We start from the raw sequence: 16,624 nt of genomic DNA on the forward strand, positions 1-16,624 counted from the left end.
AAGAAAAGAAAAAAAAAGAAACAGGTGATGCACAAGCATGACTTGTTAGGAGTGTGGCCATTAGAAAAAAGAAGTCTTGCCAGGCACAGTGGCTCATGCCTGTAATCCCAGCACTTTGGGAGGCCAAGGCAGGTGAATCACCTGAGGTCAGGAGTTCATAACCAGCCTGACCAACATGGTGAAACCCTGACTCCACTAAAAATATAAAAATTAGCCAGGCGTGGTGGCGTGTGCCTGTAATCCCAGCTACTTGGGAGGCTGAGGCAGGAGAATTGCTTGAACGCAAGAGACGGAGGTTGCAGTGAGCCGAGATCATGCTACTGCACTCCAGCCTGGGCAACAAGAGTGAGACTCCGTCTCAAAAATAAAAAAAGAAAGAAAAAGAAAAAAGAAGTCTTACCCTCTCTAGCATGGGATAGACTACCCTCTCTAGCATGGGTGGGTAGTCTTACCCACCCGTGGTGGGCTTGGGTGATAATATAACAAAGCAGAGAACTAGTAGCAAATAAGCCAGAGTCACTGTTGCTGTCTTAAAAAGGGTTTATAGAAGCTCTAGGAAGAATTTAAAAATGGAACTGCTTTTTAAAAGTTCATGAAACTATTCACCCCTCCTCAACCTGTAATACACATCAACTTTGCATCCAGGTTGCCTCTTACCACTATGAGCATGAAACAGGGTTTGGGAGTTAAGAGATCTGGGTTGAAGGTCCAGTTCTACAACAAACAAGCTGGGGGACACTGAGCAAGTCATTTAACTCCTTGGTACTTCCCTCTCTTCAACTACAAAATAGGGATATTAATAATAACAATTATTTAAAGGATTATAAAACTAAATGAAATATGAAAATGCTGTGTAACCTATACAGCATCACGTAAGTTTGTTCTTACTTTACTTAAAAGTAGTGGCAACAATCTAGTCATTTTCACTTCACCCACTTTGCCTCTACATTTAGCTCATCAAAGGGCAAAACCTGTATAGGAAAAAAATGTTCTTGAGATAAGGTTCTTAAGCCCAGCTGCTCATCAAAATTACCTGGAGGGCTTGTTAAATGTAGAGCTTCTTAAGACAGAGTCTCACTTTCTAGCCCAGGCTGCAGTGCAGTGGTGCAATCTTGCCTCACTGCAACCTCCACCTCCTGGATTCAAGCAATTCTCTTGCCTCAGCCTCCACCGTAGCTGGGATTACAGGTGCCCACCACCACACCCAGCTAACTTTTGTATTTTTAGTACAGACGGGGTTTCACTGTATTGGTCAGGCTGGTCTCGAACTCCTGACCTCAAATGATCTGCCCACCTTGGCCTCCCAAAGTGCTGGGATTATAGGCATGAGCCACTGAGCCCAGCCCTAAATGTAGAGCTTCTTGTGCCCCAGACATACTGAGGTTCTCTAGAGATAAGGTCCAGGACAGGGGACTGATTTTGGACTACATAGGGGACAAATGTGACCCCCTTTACCATTATGGAGATCTCAAAAATAGAAGCTTGGCTACTAGCTCCTCTATAAAGTTCATCTAAATGAAATATTTAAGTGTAAAATGTTTATTTTTTCATTTTTTTTCATTTATTCATTCATTGTTCAGGTAAGTTCAGAAATTTTCAAATAACCTTAAAATGTTACACTGAGACTATAATCCTAGGTGGCAATAATCAGTCCTCTCTAAACGTGGCACAACTCACACCACTTGCTATTGTCTCACACTCAGTCAATTTCAAATATGTATGCTACCACGAGGCCCCAGCTCCTACCTTCTTTGCTCCCTCCTTCTGAACCAAATGGGAGTTACAAGAAAATCCAGTGGGAGTTCTATCTACTGGTTTGAGAAGATTTAGTGAGAAAGGAAAAACTGGATTTTAAACTAATAAACTACATTTGAAAAGATATTACACTACATGAAAAGATATTACACTTTGTTCTCTTTTCCAGATGTTTAAGCACCATTACTTTGAATTTTGGTGGTAAATTTTAAATGAACTTTCTAAAGATTTTCTTTAATAAAATAGATTTCTTATAAAACACTTTTTACTTTGTATTCTTATTTTCAGGTTTCATCCCACTTTAAAATACCAATGCTTCTCATGGAAGAATAAAGTGATTCCACTAACTCACAGACACCTGTGCTCCACGTATCTATCAGCAAGTATAGCTGCATGTACAGAAAATAGTTGCTTGCTTCTTTATTCTCACAAGCTGAGACTTTTCACTTGTTAATCATTAAAAAAAAAATTGAAATTCTTTTTTTTGTTTTTTGAGATGGAGTTTCACTCTTCTTGCCCTGGATGGAGTGCAATTGCGCTATCTCGGCTCACTGCAACCTCCGCCTCCCATTCTCCTGCCTCAGCCTCCTGAGTAGCTGGGATTATAGGCATGCACCACCAGGCCCAGCTAATTTTGTACTGTAGAGACGGGGTGTCTCCATGTTGGTCAGGCTGGTTTCGAACTCCCGACCTCAGGTAATCCGCCTGCCTCAGCCTCCCAAAGTGCTGGGATTACAGGCATGAGCCAACGCACCTGGCCAACAAATTGAAATTCTAAGTTAAATTGCTCAGTTCTCTATTAAGCCTCCACTGTACCTTTAACTTCATAATTACAACAGTCATTATACTGTATTAAATTTGTTACATTTGTCTCCTTATTAGAAATAAGCCTCTGGAGAGCAGAAGGGCAGACGTTATATTTTACTCACTCTTAAAGACTTAGTACAGATCTGGCTTTTTTTTTTTTTTTTTTTTTGGAGACAGAGTCTCACACTGTTACCCAGATGGCTCACTGCAACCTCCACCTCCTGAGTTCAAGTGATTCTCATGACTCAGCTTTCAAGTAGCTGGGAATACAGGCATGCACCAACATGCCTGGCTAATTTTTGTATTTTTAGGAGAGACAGGATTTCGCCATGTTGGCCAGGCTGGTAATCCGCCCACCTCAGCCTCTCAAAGTGCTGGGATTACAGTCGTGAGCCACGACGCCCGACCCAGATCTGGCATATTCTAAGCATGCAATAAACAAATGCAGAATACAAAACAAGAAAAGCAACAATAGAGAATACATAAATGCACAGTAATTACTATCCTTTAGGAATTTACAGTCTACTGAGGGTAAAAGACACACATCAACAAAAATTATACAAGAGAGAACATTTAAAATGCCACAGGAGAGAAATATAAAGTATAAGAAGAAATCAGGGAGGAAATTACAGTATAAGATATAAGTTACAGTACTTTCTTTTTCCCTGGACACCAATTTCCATCCCTAAATATTTGGCAAAAGTTCTTACCACTCAATTTTAACCTCAGGTTTCTAGTGAATTTATACTCATCATGAAAAATATATATTACGACTTCAAGTGCCCTAAGAAAATATATCATATTCAGAATTATCTCCACTTTTTCCGGCCCAGTATATTTCAATTCTGTAGCACTGGTATTCCTTACCACTATCATATCTCCCCAGGATAGAGAAGTGAACTAGCACCTACAGTTTAGGTATGTTAAGGCATATTGGTTAAAAGCATAGGTTTCAGTACCATGATTCTACCACTTATTTGCTATAAGACCTTGGGCAAATTATTGCTCAGAATGTCAATTTCCTCACCTATAAAATGGGAATGTCTATCTCAAAGAGGATTTAAATTAGATAATTCATGTGCAAGCACTCAGTAAACAATAAATGATAGCTGTTATAAAGGATTAACAATAAATCTAGTGAACAGGGGCTTGCTAGTCAAACACGTGCATAAACTGACTATATACTGTGCTTCATAGTTCACGTGTTTTATCAACCTTCATAGTTATACCTCCCTTTCCATTTCCAGTGCTATTACTTTTTCAAGCCTTTATCTACACTCATACCCAGATAACTTTCTAAATGGTTTTCCATCTCCCTCCTCAGACATACATTGACCAGACTATTATTTTATTTCCACCACAAATGCCAGGCTGGGGTAATGGAAAGAGCTTTAGATTTCAAATAAAAGAATTTGGGTTTGGGTTTCAGCAGTATCACTAAAACATTGTAGAATGCTAAAAATAAATTTCTCAACTGTATAATGAGTTTTAGATTAAATTATCTTCAATCTCTCTTTGTTGTTGTTGTTGTTGTTTTTAAGAAAGGGTCTCTGTCACTCAGGCTGGAGTGCAGTGGCATTATCTCAACTCACTGCAGCCTTGACTTTCTGAACACAAGCGATCCTCCCACCTCAGTCCCCAAGGTAGCTGGGACTATAGGCATACGCCACCATGCCCAGCTAACTTTTTTTTTTTTTTTTGTACTTTTAGTAGAGACAGGGTTTTGCCATGTTGCCCAGGCTGTTCTCAAACTCCTGAGCTCAAACGATCCACCCACCTTGGCCTCCCAAAGTGCTACGATTACAGGCGTGAGCCACCATGTCCAGCCTTCAGTATCTCTTCTTGCTATAAGTCTATACCTCTCTTCTGATCAAAAATTGCCTTTGGCTTACAAAATACAATTCCGCATTGAAGGAGCATTAAAGCCTTCCACATTCAGTGTGGCATGAGTTTTGGAGGCAGAAGGCCTAAGATCTTAATCCTGATTCTATAGTTTACTGGTTGCTTATCCTTGAACTTATTAAACTTCTCTACACAAAAGAGAAGTTTCTTACACGAAATGGGAATAACAGTAATTCTCTCAGGGGCCTATTATAAGATTTTAATGAGATATTTGTTAAGTGCTTAGCACATAGTAAACAATAAATAAGTATGAGATTTGTGCCTATTCTAATATTTCCCATTTCTGCCTTCCAGTTATAAGGGTGTGTGTGTGTGTGTGTGTGTGTGTGTGTGTGTGTGTTGAGACATGGTCTCACTCTGTCACCCAGGCTGGAGCACACTGACATGGACAGGGCTCCCTGCAGCCTCAACTTCCTGGCCTCAAGTGATCCTCCCACCTAAGCTGCCCAAGTAGCTAGGAACAAGGGTGCACACCACCACACCAGGCTAATTTTTTTTTTTTTTTTTGTAAAGACAGGGTCTCACTATTGTAGCCCAGGCTGGTCTCAAACTCCTGAGATCAAGAGATCTTCCCACCTCAGCCTCCCAGTGTGTTGGGGATTATAGGCGTGAGCCACCGCGCCCAGCCTAGTTACAGTTTTTGTTTTTGTTTTTGTTTTAAGATAGTCTTGCTCTGTCGCCCAGGCTGGAGTGCAATGGCACAATCTTGGCTCACTGCAACTTCTGCCTCCAGAGTTCAAGCCATTCTCCTGCCTCAGTCTCCCAAGTAGCTGGGATTACAGGCATGCGCCACCATGCCCAGCTAATTTTTATATTTTTAGTAGAGATGGGGTTTCGCCATGTTGCCAGGCTGGTCTCAAACTCCTGACCTCATGATCCACCTGCCTCGGCCTCCCAAAGTGTTGGGATTACAGGCGTGAGCCACCGCACCCAGCCTATAGCTTTTAAACTGTTCCTGGAGACCTAGAACTCTGCTTCAATCAAAACAACTGAGTGGGCCGGGTGTGGTGGCTCACGCCTGTAATCCCAGCACTTTGGGAGGCTGAGGCGGGTGGATCACCTGAGGTCAGGAGTTCGAGACTAGCCTGGCCAACATGATGAAACCCTGTCTCTACTAAAAAATACAAAAATTAGCTAGGCGTGGTGGCTCATGCCTATAATCCCAGCTACTGGGGAGGCTGAGGCAGAAGAATCGCTTGAACCCAGGAGGCAGAGGTTGCAGTAAGCCAAGGTCACGCCATTGCACTCCAGCCTGGGTGACAAGAGCGAAGCTCCGTCTCAAAAACAAAAACAAAAACAAAAAAAACACTGTGTGGGCTTCCCTTCTCTTTCATATACTGAAGTTCAACATTAAAAAAAAATTTTGAGGTGGTTTCTTCTGTTAAAGAATGCATGAAATCCACTATGCCATAGACACAATCTGCTCCAATTAGCTATGCCTACTCTTTGTCAACTGCAATTACTGTGTATACATCAGTATCTCCTGTCTTTGGTAATACCTATTCCTCTCTCCTCAGGACTTCTTTCCGAAGTCATCCCTAGTCACTCTTCTTTTGAACCCTTATAGCATTTTATTTTTATTATTTAGAGACAAGGTCTTGCTCTGTTGCCCAGGCTGCAGTGCAGTGGCATAATCATAGCTCACGGTAACCTTCAAATCCTAGACACAAGCAATCTTTTTACCTCAGCCCCCCAAGTAGCTAGGACCATAGGTGTGCACTACCTTGCCTGGCTAATTTTTAGATGGGGTCTCACTATGTTGCCCAGGCTCAAACTCCCAGGCTCAACTGATCCTTCTGCTTTAACCTTTTGAGTAGCTAGGACTACAGGCACATGCCACTGGAACTGCAACTTCTTTTCTGATTATTATTTTTTCTTGACTTAACTCACATTTAAGGTCTTTTAATTTATCCTTTAAATGTGATGATCTCTGTACTAGGAAACAAGTAGTCCCTTTATATACAGCATGCAAGTTCCCCATTCTCATTCCCTCTCCTCTCCTGCAATCCCTTTCATCCTCATATTTATTTTAATTTTTGTAGAGACAGGCTCTCGCTATATTGCCTAGGCTACTCTTGAACTCCTGTCCTCAAGCAATCCTCCTGCTTTGGTCCCCCACAGTGCTGGGACTGCAGGTATGAGCCACCACGTCCGGCCCTTTCCTTTTCTATTTTATCCCTAAAACCTAACCTCTTACTGTTGACAGCCAATTCTGACTAATCTTGTTTATTATCTGGGCCTCTTTTCTATTGTTTATATTTATTCCATTAAAAAGGTCAAAGACTCTATAGAGCCCATACCTTATTAAATCTGGTTTGTAAATAACTAAAATTATGCTTGCCTTTGGCAACTGAATAAAGACTCCAAGGCCCATTTAATTAGCAAAAAAACAGAGATTACAGCTATATGCTCCTTCAGCTACGCCAGCTCTCTGTATAACTCAGCCTTTCTGACAATCCATACCTTGCTTTGTGATTTGGGGGAGCTGCATGTTTGCTATCCTACCACCTACCTATTCCTATTTTCAGTATCAGCTTTTCCTGAGAAGGGAAAAGGTATGAATATTGATTTCAAAGTCAGGCTTATGTTTGAATGGCAGAGACTCAGTAGCTGTATAAACTTTCCAAAACTTTCAATTTATAAAATGAGCATACTAATATCTATTTCATTAAATGAGACAATGCAAAACATCTAGACTCTAGATCAATATTTGGCACATAATAAATATTAAGCATTATTTCCTTTTTACAAAGGAAAATATGAATTGAAAAGGAAAAGTAAGGCCAGGCCCGGTGGCTCACGCCTGTAATCCCAGCACTTTGGGAGGCCAAGGCGGGCCAATCACTTGAGGTCAGGAGTTCAAGACCAGCCTGGCAACATGGTGAAACCCTATCTCTACCAAAAATATAATAAATTAGCTGAGTGTGCTGGTGTGTGCTTGTAATCCCAGCTACTTGGGAGACTGAGCCAGGAGAATCACTTGAATCTGGGAGGCAGAGGTTGCAGTGAGCCGAGATGATGCCACAGCACTCCAGCCTGGGCAACAAGAGTGAAACTCCATCTCATAAAAAAATAAAGAAAGAAAAGGAAAAGGAAGATACAAAGACAACTTAGCTTCTGCAAAGTCTATTCAGAAAAATGTATCTATGTCACTATAATATTAATAAAAATATTTTCTCAAAGAATGATGTTTCTTAAGAAATTAGTAAAATATTGATACTGATTGATTGAGACAGGTCTTGCATAATTTATTTATAGAGACAGGTCTAGCTCTGTTGCCCAGGCTGGAATGCAGGAAGTGCAGTGGCCCATCACAGCTCACTACAACCTCCAGTACCAGGGCTCAAACAATTCTCTCCCCTCAGCCTCCCAAGTAGCTAAGACTACAGGCATGTGCCATTGGGCTTGGCTAATTTTTCTATTTCTGTTGAGACAGGGTCTTGTTATGTTGTCCAGGCTGGTCTTGAATTCCAGGCCTCAAGTTACCCTCCTGCCTCAGCCTCCCAAAGTGCTGGGATTACAAGTGTGAGCCACCACACCAGGTCAGAAGTTAGTGCAATATTAATTAGCATTCTAATTTAACCATAAGGCCTAAATTGTAACATTACATGTTTCTATTCTATTGTATTGAATTCAAATCTAGTTTTCTGCCTGTAATCCTAGCACTTTGCAAGGCTGAGGTGGGAATATTGTGTGAGGCCAGGAGCCTGGGCAATATAGCAAGACCTCATTTCTAGTGGAAAAAAAAATCTAATTTTCATTTAGTCATAAAATGTAGACTAAATATTGTTGAGACTTACCTAATGCAGGCCTTACTCTACTGTAGTCACCATTTATTTCCTAACTGAAACAAGACTGGGAAGGAGGTATACATAAGCAAAACCGAAGAAATGCCCCAACCCTACTCTGCTTTCACTCTGCCCACTCTAGGTCTTTTCTAAAACAATTATATTTTTTGAATAGTAATACAAGTACATGATATCAAATTTTTTTTTTTTTTTTTTTTTTTTTTTTTTTTGAGACGGAGTCTCGCTCTGTCACCCAGGCTGGAGTGCAGTGGCGGGATCTCGGCTCACTGCAAGCTCCGCCTCCCGGGTTCACGCCATTCTCCTGCCTCAGCCTCCCAAGTAGCTGGGACTACAGGCGCCCGCCACTACGCCCGGCTAATTTTTTGTATTTTTAGTAGAGACGGGGTTTCACCGTTTTAGCCGGGATGGTCTCGATCTCCTGACCTCGTGATCCGCCCGCCTCGGCCTCCCAAAGTGCTGGGATTACAGGCGTGAGCCACCGCGCCCGGCCGATATCAAATTTTTTAAATACAGGAAAATGCAACTCAGTTTCCCTTCAGAGAGTCTATCGTTACACAAATTTTTATCTTCATCATCAAGCAAATACAAACATAAATTTACAGGCACACTCCTGTATACCCACAGAATGCACCATTTTAATATTTCACAATAAAATGCCTCAGTTTTACTACCCAAGCTGTAGAGAATGTTCATCTCTCTTAACACATTTTTTCAGCTAATGATTTTATAAAGTAAAATTTTTACATTTATTTATTTCAATCCCAAAACATAATACAATGTTCTTTAAAAGATGTGTGAGATGTCTGGAGATATATTCCAAATAAAACTAACAAAACTTTGAAAAATCTGCTTCAATATCAACAAAAGGAATGTACGTGTTATTACACAGGAAGCAACTGTGTGTTATATTAATTATTTAGTAACCAGGAAGAAATGCTTAAGAATTTTATATCCTAAAAATTTTGTTAATTGCATGAATATGGCCAGGCCAGTGGCTCACGCCTGTAATCACAGCACTTTGGGAGGCTGAGGCGGGCGGATCATGAGGTCAGCAGTTCAAGACCAGCCTGACCAACATGGTGAAACCCCGTCTCAACTAAAAATATAAACATTAGCCAGGCGTGGTGGTGGGTGCCTGTAGTCCCAGCTACTCAGGAGGCTGAGGCAGGAGAATTGCTTGAACCCGGGAGGCAGAGGTTGCTGTGAACCAAGATCGCGCCATTGTACTCCAGCCTGGGCGACAGAGCAAGACTCCATCTAAAAAAAAAAAAAAAAATTGCACGACTAGCCCAGGCATGGTGGATCACACCTGTAATCCCAGCACTGTGGGAATCCAAGGTGGGAGGATTGCGTGAGCCCACGAATTTGAGACCAGCCTGGGCAACATAGTGAAACCTTGTCTCTATAAAAAGTTTCTTAAAAATTAGCCAGGCATAGTGGTGTGCACCTGTAGTCCCCACTACTCAGGAGCCTAAGGCAGAAGGATCACTAGAGCCCAGGAGATCAAGGCTGCAGTGAGCTATGATTATGCTACTGCACTCCAGTCTGGGCAACAAAGCAACATGGTCTCAAAAAAAAAAAAAATTGCTGGATTCAAGAATACCTCCATTTTAATTTTTAAGTAATCTAAATTGTTCTCTGTAGTGGCTTTCACCAATTTCTATTCTCATGGCTATGGTGTAAGTACCTATTTTCCCATAATCTTACCAAGCTAACATTTCATAGTTTAATATGCACGTCTCTTACTATGAGAATGGTTGAGAATATTTTCATATATTTGAAGGCCATCTGTGGCCAGGCATGGTGGCTCACGCCTGTAATCCCAGTACTTTGGGAGGCCAAGGTGGGTGGATCACCTGAGGTCAGGAGTTCAAGACCAGCTTGGCCAACATGGTGAAACCCCGTCTCTACTAAAAATACAAAAAAATTAGCCAGGTGTGGTGGCTCTCTCCTGTAATCCCAGCTACTCACAAGGCTGAGGCAGGAGAATCACTTGAACCTGAGAACTGGAGGTTGCAGTGAGCCGAGATTGCACCATTGCACTCCAGCCTGGGCGACAGCGCAAGACTCCATCTCAAAAAAATAAATAATAAAAAGTAAAGGCCATCTATATTGCCTTTCTGTACACAGTGTTCATACCATTTCCCCTTTTCTATTATATTTAGGTCTTTCTTAAACTGATAAATCCCTGAAGCAAAGTTGTTCTTTGCCTATAATGAGATATTACAGATATTTTTCCCAGTCTATTTGTTTGTTGACTTTGTTATGATGAAATATAACCAAATTTATCCTTTCCTTTTTTGAGGCAGGCTTGCTGTGTTGCTCAGGCTGGAGTACAGTGGCGGGATCATAGCTCACTGCAACTTCAAACTCCTGGAGTCAAGCGATCCTCTCACCTCAGCCTTCCAAATAGCTAGGAATACAGGTGCATGCCACCATACCCGGCTAATCTGTTTTTTTTTTAATTTTTTGTAGAGACGAGGTCTTATTGTTGCCCAAGCTGGCCTTGAACTCATGGCCTCAAGTGATCCACCACCTTGGCTTCCCAAAGTCCTGGGATTACAAGTGTGAGCCACTGTGACTGGCCTTATACTTTTCTTAACCCATTTATGCCTGAGGTTGCAATTTTTTAAATTTTTGCAATCAGACCTTGGCAATGACCTTGAACAGTAGGACACGAATAACTCCCAGATGCTTAGCATTCCAATAATGGAATACTAGGCATATTTGTCCATGTCTTATGGCTTCTAAGTTTTGGGTTAAGCTTAGAAAAGTTTTTCTTATTCAAATATTATTTTTAAGATAATTCCACCATTGTTCATCCTAATAATTTTATGATTTCATTTTTTACATTTAAAGCTTTTATTCATCTGGAATCTATCTGGGGTAAGGAATGACAATGGGGATCCAGTTATTTAAATTCTGGGTTGTTATTCAGTTGTCCCAACACCACTACTGAGTAACTGAAGCTCTTTTTAGATGATTTTTTAGAAGTTAGACTCAGAAGTAGAGATGACTAGTGAGCTCAGAATTAGTGAAACCAACACCAAAATTAGGAATTTAGGGGTCCTAAAACACATATAACATTAAAAGCACAGATCCTGAAGTCCAACATCTATCACATACAAAGCATATTAACTAGTACTGTTGTTAGACTTGGAAGACCTAAGGATGGATTATCTCTAATTCAGTTAAAATAACTATGTACTATACAATAGGTATTAATAATAAGCATTTATATGGCACTTTTACAGTTTGTATAATGTGAGTTCACTTACTTTGTCTTCATAACTACTCTTTAAGAAGATGGGTAGAGATTTTAATTTCCATTTATTGCTGAGGAAAATAATTCAGTGGTGGTACCTTGTCCCTTTACTTATAGGAATTGGTAGTGCCAAACTCAAACCCAGATCTCATATTTCCAAATATTAGCACTCTGCTTTTATATCCTGCACCAAGTACTTTTATGCAAAAATTAATGAGACTTCCTACTCACAAGGAGGTTGAAACGATTTTTCAATTAAATATTCAGACCAATCACATACTTAATTCTAAGCATGAAAGGAGTACACAGAAGTAGAAAACATCCTTGGCTTTAAGGAAACTTCAAAGGTCTACAGCAGTTTAAACAAATAAGGCTTGGGAGACTGGAAAATAAACCTGAAGGTCAGGAACCATCTTATCTACTCTCTCCTTGTCATACAGTATTTACAGCTGGTATAACTAGAATGTAGTGTTAGGTCAGTAAATATTTGTTGGTTGTCTAAATGTACTGATCGAAACTTCTAGACAGGGTGAGATATGAAATAATATCAGATCCCACTTATTTTTCCCAGGGGCTAAACTTTTGTCTGTGACCAAAGACTCAGCCAAATCATCAAACAGTTCTTAGACAATGTAAGTCTACACCTACTGGGCTACACCTACTGACTAAATGTATTTCACAGAAAAATAAAAATGTTGAACTACATTTCATTTCAAAACTGCCAAAAGGTTATAAAACAATTTCCAGAACTGAATCTAGTCCAACTGCTACAAAATACAACTATCATTCACTCTTGCTTTACTCTGAATTAAACACATCTTCTGCTTCTACAATAAATAATTGTTCATAATATTTCTCATCAGTTGTGCTTTCTTTGTGTTGTTTCCTTCAGATATCTTGTCAACATATATTTTCTGCAGGTCTTTTATTTTTTAATACTAACAATCACTTATCTGCCACATATGATAATTTTTTTAAAACTTCTGAAATATTTTAGCAAATACTAAGGGAGAACAAAACATGAATATGAAAATAGAAGTACAAAAATAAACTCAGTTTACAAAGTTCAATTTGTATCCTGCCACAGATAACTTCACTTCAGAGTCTGCACGCCCTATTCTCCCATCTATCCAGTGACAAGATATTGGCATTGGAGCCTCAAGGACTGCAACTTTTGTTGGCAAAAGCCTTGCATGGGTCAAGATAATTTTTAAGCCTTTGATAAAGAAAGCCCAAAGAGACCAGGCTTAAAATTTTAGTGGATGGTTGCGTGTTAGATATGTTAGAGTCCTAAACTCAAATAAAAAGGCAAGTTGACAATAAACTAGTCAATGCAAAGAGCTTACAAAAGCATAAGCCCAGAAATTACATGCAATGCCTAGTCTATAAAATACCAAGAAGGCGGCTGGGTGCGGTGGCTCAAGCCTGCAATCCCAGCACTTTGGGAGGCCAAGATGGGCGGATCACGAGGTCAGGAGTTCGGGACCAGCCTGGCCAACATAGTGAAACTCCATCTCTACTAAAAATACAAAAATTAGCCGGATGTGTTAGCACGCCACCTATAGTCCTGGCTACTTGGGAGGCAGAGGTGGGAGAATCGCTTGAACCTGGGAGGCGGAGGCTGCAGTGAGCCGAGATCGCGTCATTGCACTCCAGTCTGGGTGACAGAGTGAGACTCCATCTCAAACAAAACAAACAAAAACAAAAACAAAAAAAACAAGAAGGCATGACTGTTTACACCAGAGTGACAGGGCTTTCTTGAGTGGTTATTTATAGCAAAGGTTTAGTACAGTTAAAGAAATCTGTCATAACTTGTTTCAATATGCCATAAATGTGGATATATTCTAGGTAAAATTATGTGGGTGCTACAGAAGGAGATACGTGAGAGAAACCAGCACAATGCCTGCACACTGTTGAATCTGACACTAGGAAATAAACAGCCAGTTATGAAACAAACTCAATTCTTAATGTTGGAAACAGAATAAGGCTCCATTCTTTTTGGAGAATAAAGACACTAACCATTTAAAACAGATGGACTTCACACCAACATGTGAATATACTTAACATACAGAACTGTACACTTAAAAATGGTTAAGATGGTAAATTTTATGCTATATGTTTTGGAAAGGGGGAATTCTTTTTTTTTTTTAAGCAGAGACAGGGTCTCGCTCTGTCACCCAGGCTGGAGTGCAATGGCCCAATCATAGCTCACTGCATCCCTCAACTCCTGGGCTCAAGTGATCCTCCCACCTCAACCTCCCTAGTAGCTGGGACTTCATGTGTGTGCCACCAAGCCCAGCCAATTTAATTTTTTTTGTAGAGATGGGGTCTTGCTATATTGCCCAGGCTGGTCTCAACTCCTGGCCTCAAGTAATCCTTCTGTCTCAGCTTCCCAAAGTGCTGGGATTACAGGTGCTAGCCACTGCACCTGGCTATGTTACGTATTTTTTAACAATTAAAAAGAAAAAAAAACTTCAAATGAGCTTTAAATTTCCCTTGTATTTTTAAATGAATAGATTTATGTGTTATTGAGTACTTACTATATATACCTGTTACCATGGAGATGGAGGTAAAATATAGAGAAAACCTATTCCTCTTTTCAAGAAGGTCAAAGCTTAAAGAGAACCAAAATTCTAAACTGTTCTTCTTTTTTATTTCCTTTTTTTTGAGACAGGGTCTCACTCTGTCACGCAGGCTGGAGCCCAGTGGTGCAATAATGGCTCACGGCAGCTTCGACCTTCCGGGCTCAAGCAATCCTCCCACCTCAAGCCTCCTGAGTAACTCGGACCACGGGCATGCACCACCATGCCCAACTAATTTTGGGGGGGGGCATAAGAGAAGACAGAGATGGGGTCTCACTATGTTGCCTAGGCTGGTCTCACTGAGCTCAGGTGATCCTCCTGCCTCAGCCTCCCAAAGTGCTGAGATTACAGGCATGAGCCACAGCACCCTGCCTAAAATCTCCTTAAAAACAAAAATTGATAATAATTTTGGATCACTCAAAGTAGATGAGTAGCCATTTACCTATGCTCTCTTAAATACATTATCTATCTCTTCCCCCTCCTTTCCTCTCTGCAGATTCTGATTGTACTTTAAAGTCTCTGATGCTTAAAATGAACATTCTGGGATTCAAACAGATTTGCTAGCTACTATGAAACGGCCCCACCTTGTGTGCCTGAACAAAGAGAGTAACAATCAACAATGCTCCTGGGTGTCCTGGAATAGAAGTGGTATTTCAAATTGGAGGGAAAAGCAAATCTAGTCTTCTGGTCTTCTTCTAAAGCAATCACTTCCATTCAGTTCAACCCAACACTTACAACTATGCAAACCAATGGGACAAATTCTATCAAAAAGCCAACTCTATTTCAGTCTTCATTATCTTCTCTCTCCTGGGCTCTTACAAAATCTGCGGTCTAGCCAGGTGCAGTGGCTCACGCCTATAATCCCACCACTTTGGGAGGCCGAGGCAGGAGGATCATGAGGTCAGGAGTTCGAGACCAGCCTGACCAACATGATGAAACCCCGTCTCTACTAAAAATACAAAAATTAGCCAGGCGTGGTGGCATGCGCCTGTAATCCCAGCTACTCAGGAGGCCGAGGCAGGAGAACTGTTTGAACTGGGAGGCAGAGGTTGCAGTGAGCTGAGATTGCGCCATTGCACTCCAGCCTGGGCAACAGAGTGAGACTCCATCTACAAACAAACAAACAAACAAACAAAAACCAATCTGTGGCCTATACCATACAAATTGCTCTTAATCAGAGTATTCTTTGTAGTGTTTGCAAAGAATTCTTGTGCCACTGGAAAACAAGTTTAAAGGTAATCGCACCTTTCGAACTCCCCAAAAGAATAGGTTAATGCTTAGTGATGAATATTCCATCAAAATATATTTATTGAGCATCTCCCATTTGTCACCACTGAATTTGCAGAAGTAGAATTTAAAAAGTAAAGGTTTTAATAACTGAAATGTCCTATATTTCAAGTCCTATCCTCTTGGTTTCTCTCTCTCTCTTTAATTAATTAATTAATTTTTTCTTTTTTAAAAAAATAGAGATGGGGTCTTGCTATGTCACCCAGGCTGGTCTTGAACACCTGGCCTCAAACAGTCCTCCTGCCTCAGCCTCCCAAATTGCTGGGATTACAGGCATGAGCCACTACACCTGTCCTTGTTCCTCTCAACACACTTGAATTGATCAGACTTCAGCATTCAAACTGTCAAAATCAATTTACAAAATTCAAAGAATTCGTCAACAGTAGCACACTTCTCCCCAAAGATGCTCTTATACAATAAGCTCCCCCATGACCAGATGTACAGGCACAATGATTCCCATAATTTCTGAGGCAGCATTCACATCACATCTGCAAAGAACAAACAGTAGCTCTTGAATCCGAGAGAGCTAAAAAGTGAATGCAGCTGCTTGGTTTCCAACTAGCAAGAACTCAGAAGCTGAAATAATCCAAATGACTGGTATAGTTAAACAGGGTAACAAATGCAATGGAAACTTTGAGCCATACATTTTCCAGACCTTGATAGGAACCTGAGAAATAACCTCTCTGCTTAGAGAGCCCTCAGAAACCCCTGCTTTCATTTTATGTTTCATGGGGGTTAATTTTTCTTTCTACCACTACACAGATCTCTTATTGCAGAGCAAAAGAGCCAGGGCAATCACCAGCTTCAGGGAGAATTTAAAAGGATAAAAATTAAACTCTGCTACTGGATGATTCTCTTTATAATACTGAAGCCACAATACATTACTAAATAGCACAAATAAAGCATACTCTGATATTCTGCATTCCTTTCACTCCACCCACCCATCACCTCCACCAAAAAAAAAAAAAAAATTAAAAACAGGTTGAGCCACACACAGTATATTTGACTTGAAAGTTTCGATGACACAGCAGCTTACTCTTGCAAATTACTGGCAAATTTAACAGTGACTTAAAATACAGTTATAGGAAAAATAGACTAATCTAAGGGTAGAAAGGCAGGGAGGCAGAAAAACCCAAGCACCTTTTTAGAAAGACAACAAATATATTCAGGTACAAGATCTGCATCAGAAACAGTTTTCTTTCTTTTTCTTTGGTAAA

At 40.6% G+C, this 16,624-nt stretch overlaps 1 pseudogene across 1 annotated transcript in view, besides 1 other annotated feature; it reads right to left on the reverse strand.

Moving 5' to 3' along the window:
* Positions 1-16,624, reverse strand: part of KRT18P55 (keratin 18 pseudogene 55) — a 31,397-nt pseudogene that overhangs the window by 3,993 nt on the left and 10,780 nt on the right. The gene's annotated exons all lie outside the window — the stretch shown is intronic.
* Positions 2,109-3,308: an enhancer, noted in NCBI's record as "MED14-independent group 3 enhancer chr17:26609113-26610312 (GRCh37/hg19 assembly coordinates)". NCBI's record gives its function as "activates an origin of replication core promoter dependent on BRD2, BRD4, P300/CBP and CDK7 cofactors, and independent of MED14, by STARR-seq in HCT116 cells {active_cell/tissue: HCT116}" and the evidence as "EXISTENCE:reporter gene assay evidence [ECO:0000049][PMID:35650434]".

This window comes from Homo sapiens, chromosome 17, assembly GCF_000001405.40.
Source record: "Homo sapiens chromosome 17, GRCh38.p14 Primary Assembly".
Taxonomy (NCBI): domain Eukaryota; kingdom Metazoa; phylum Chordata; class Mammalia; order Primates; family Hominidae; genus Homo; species Homo sapiens.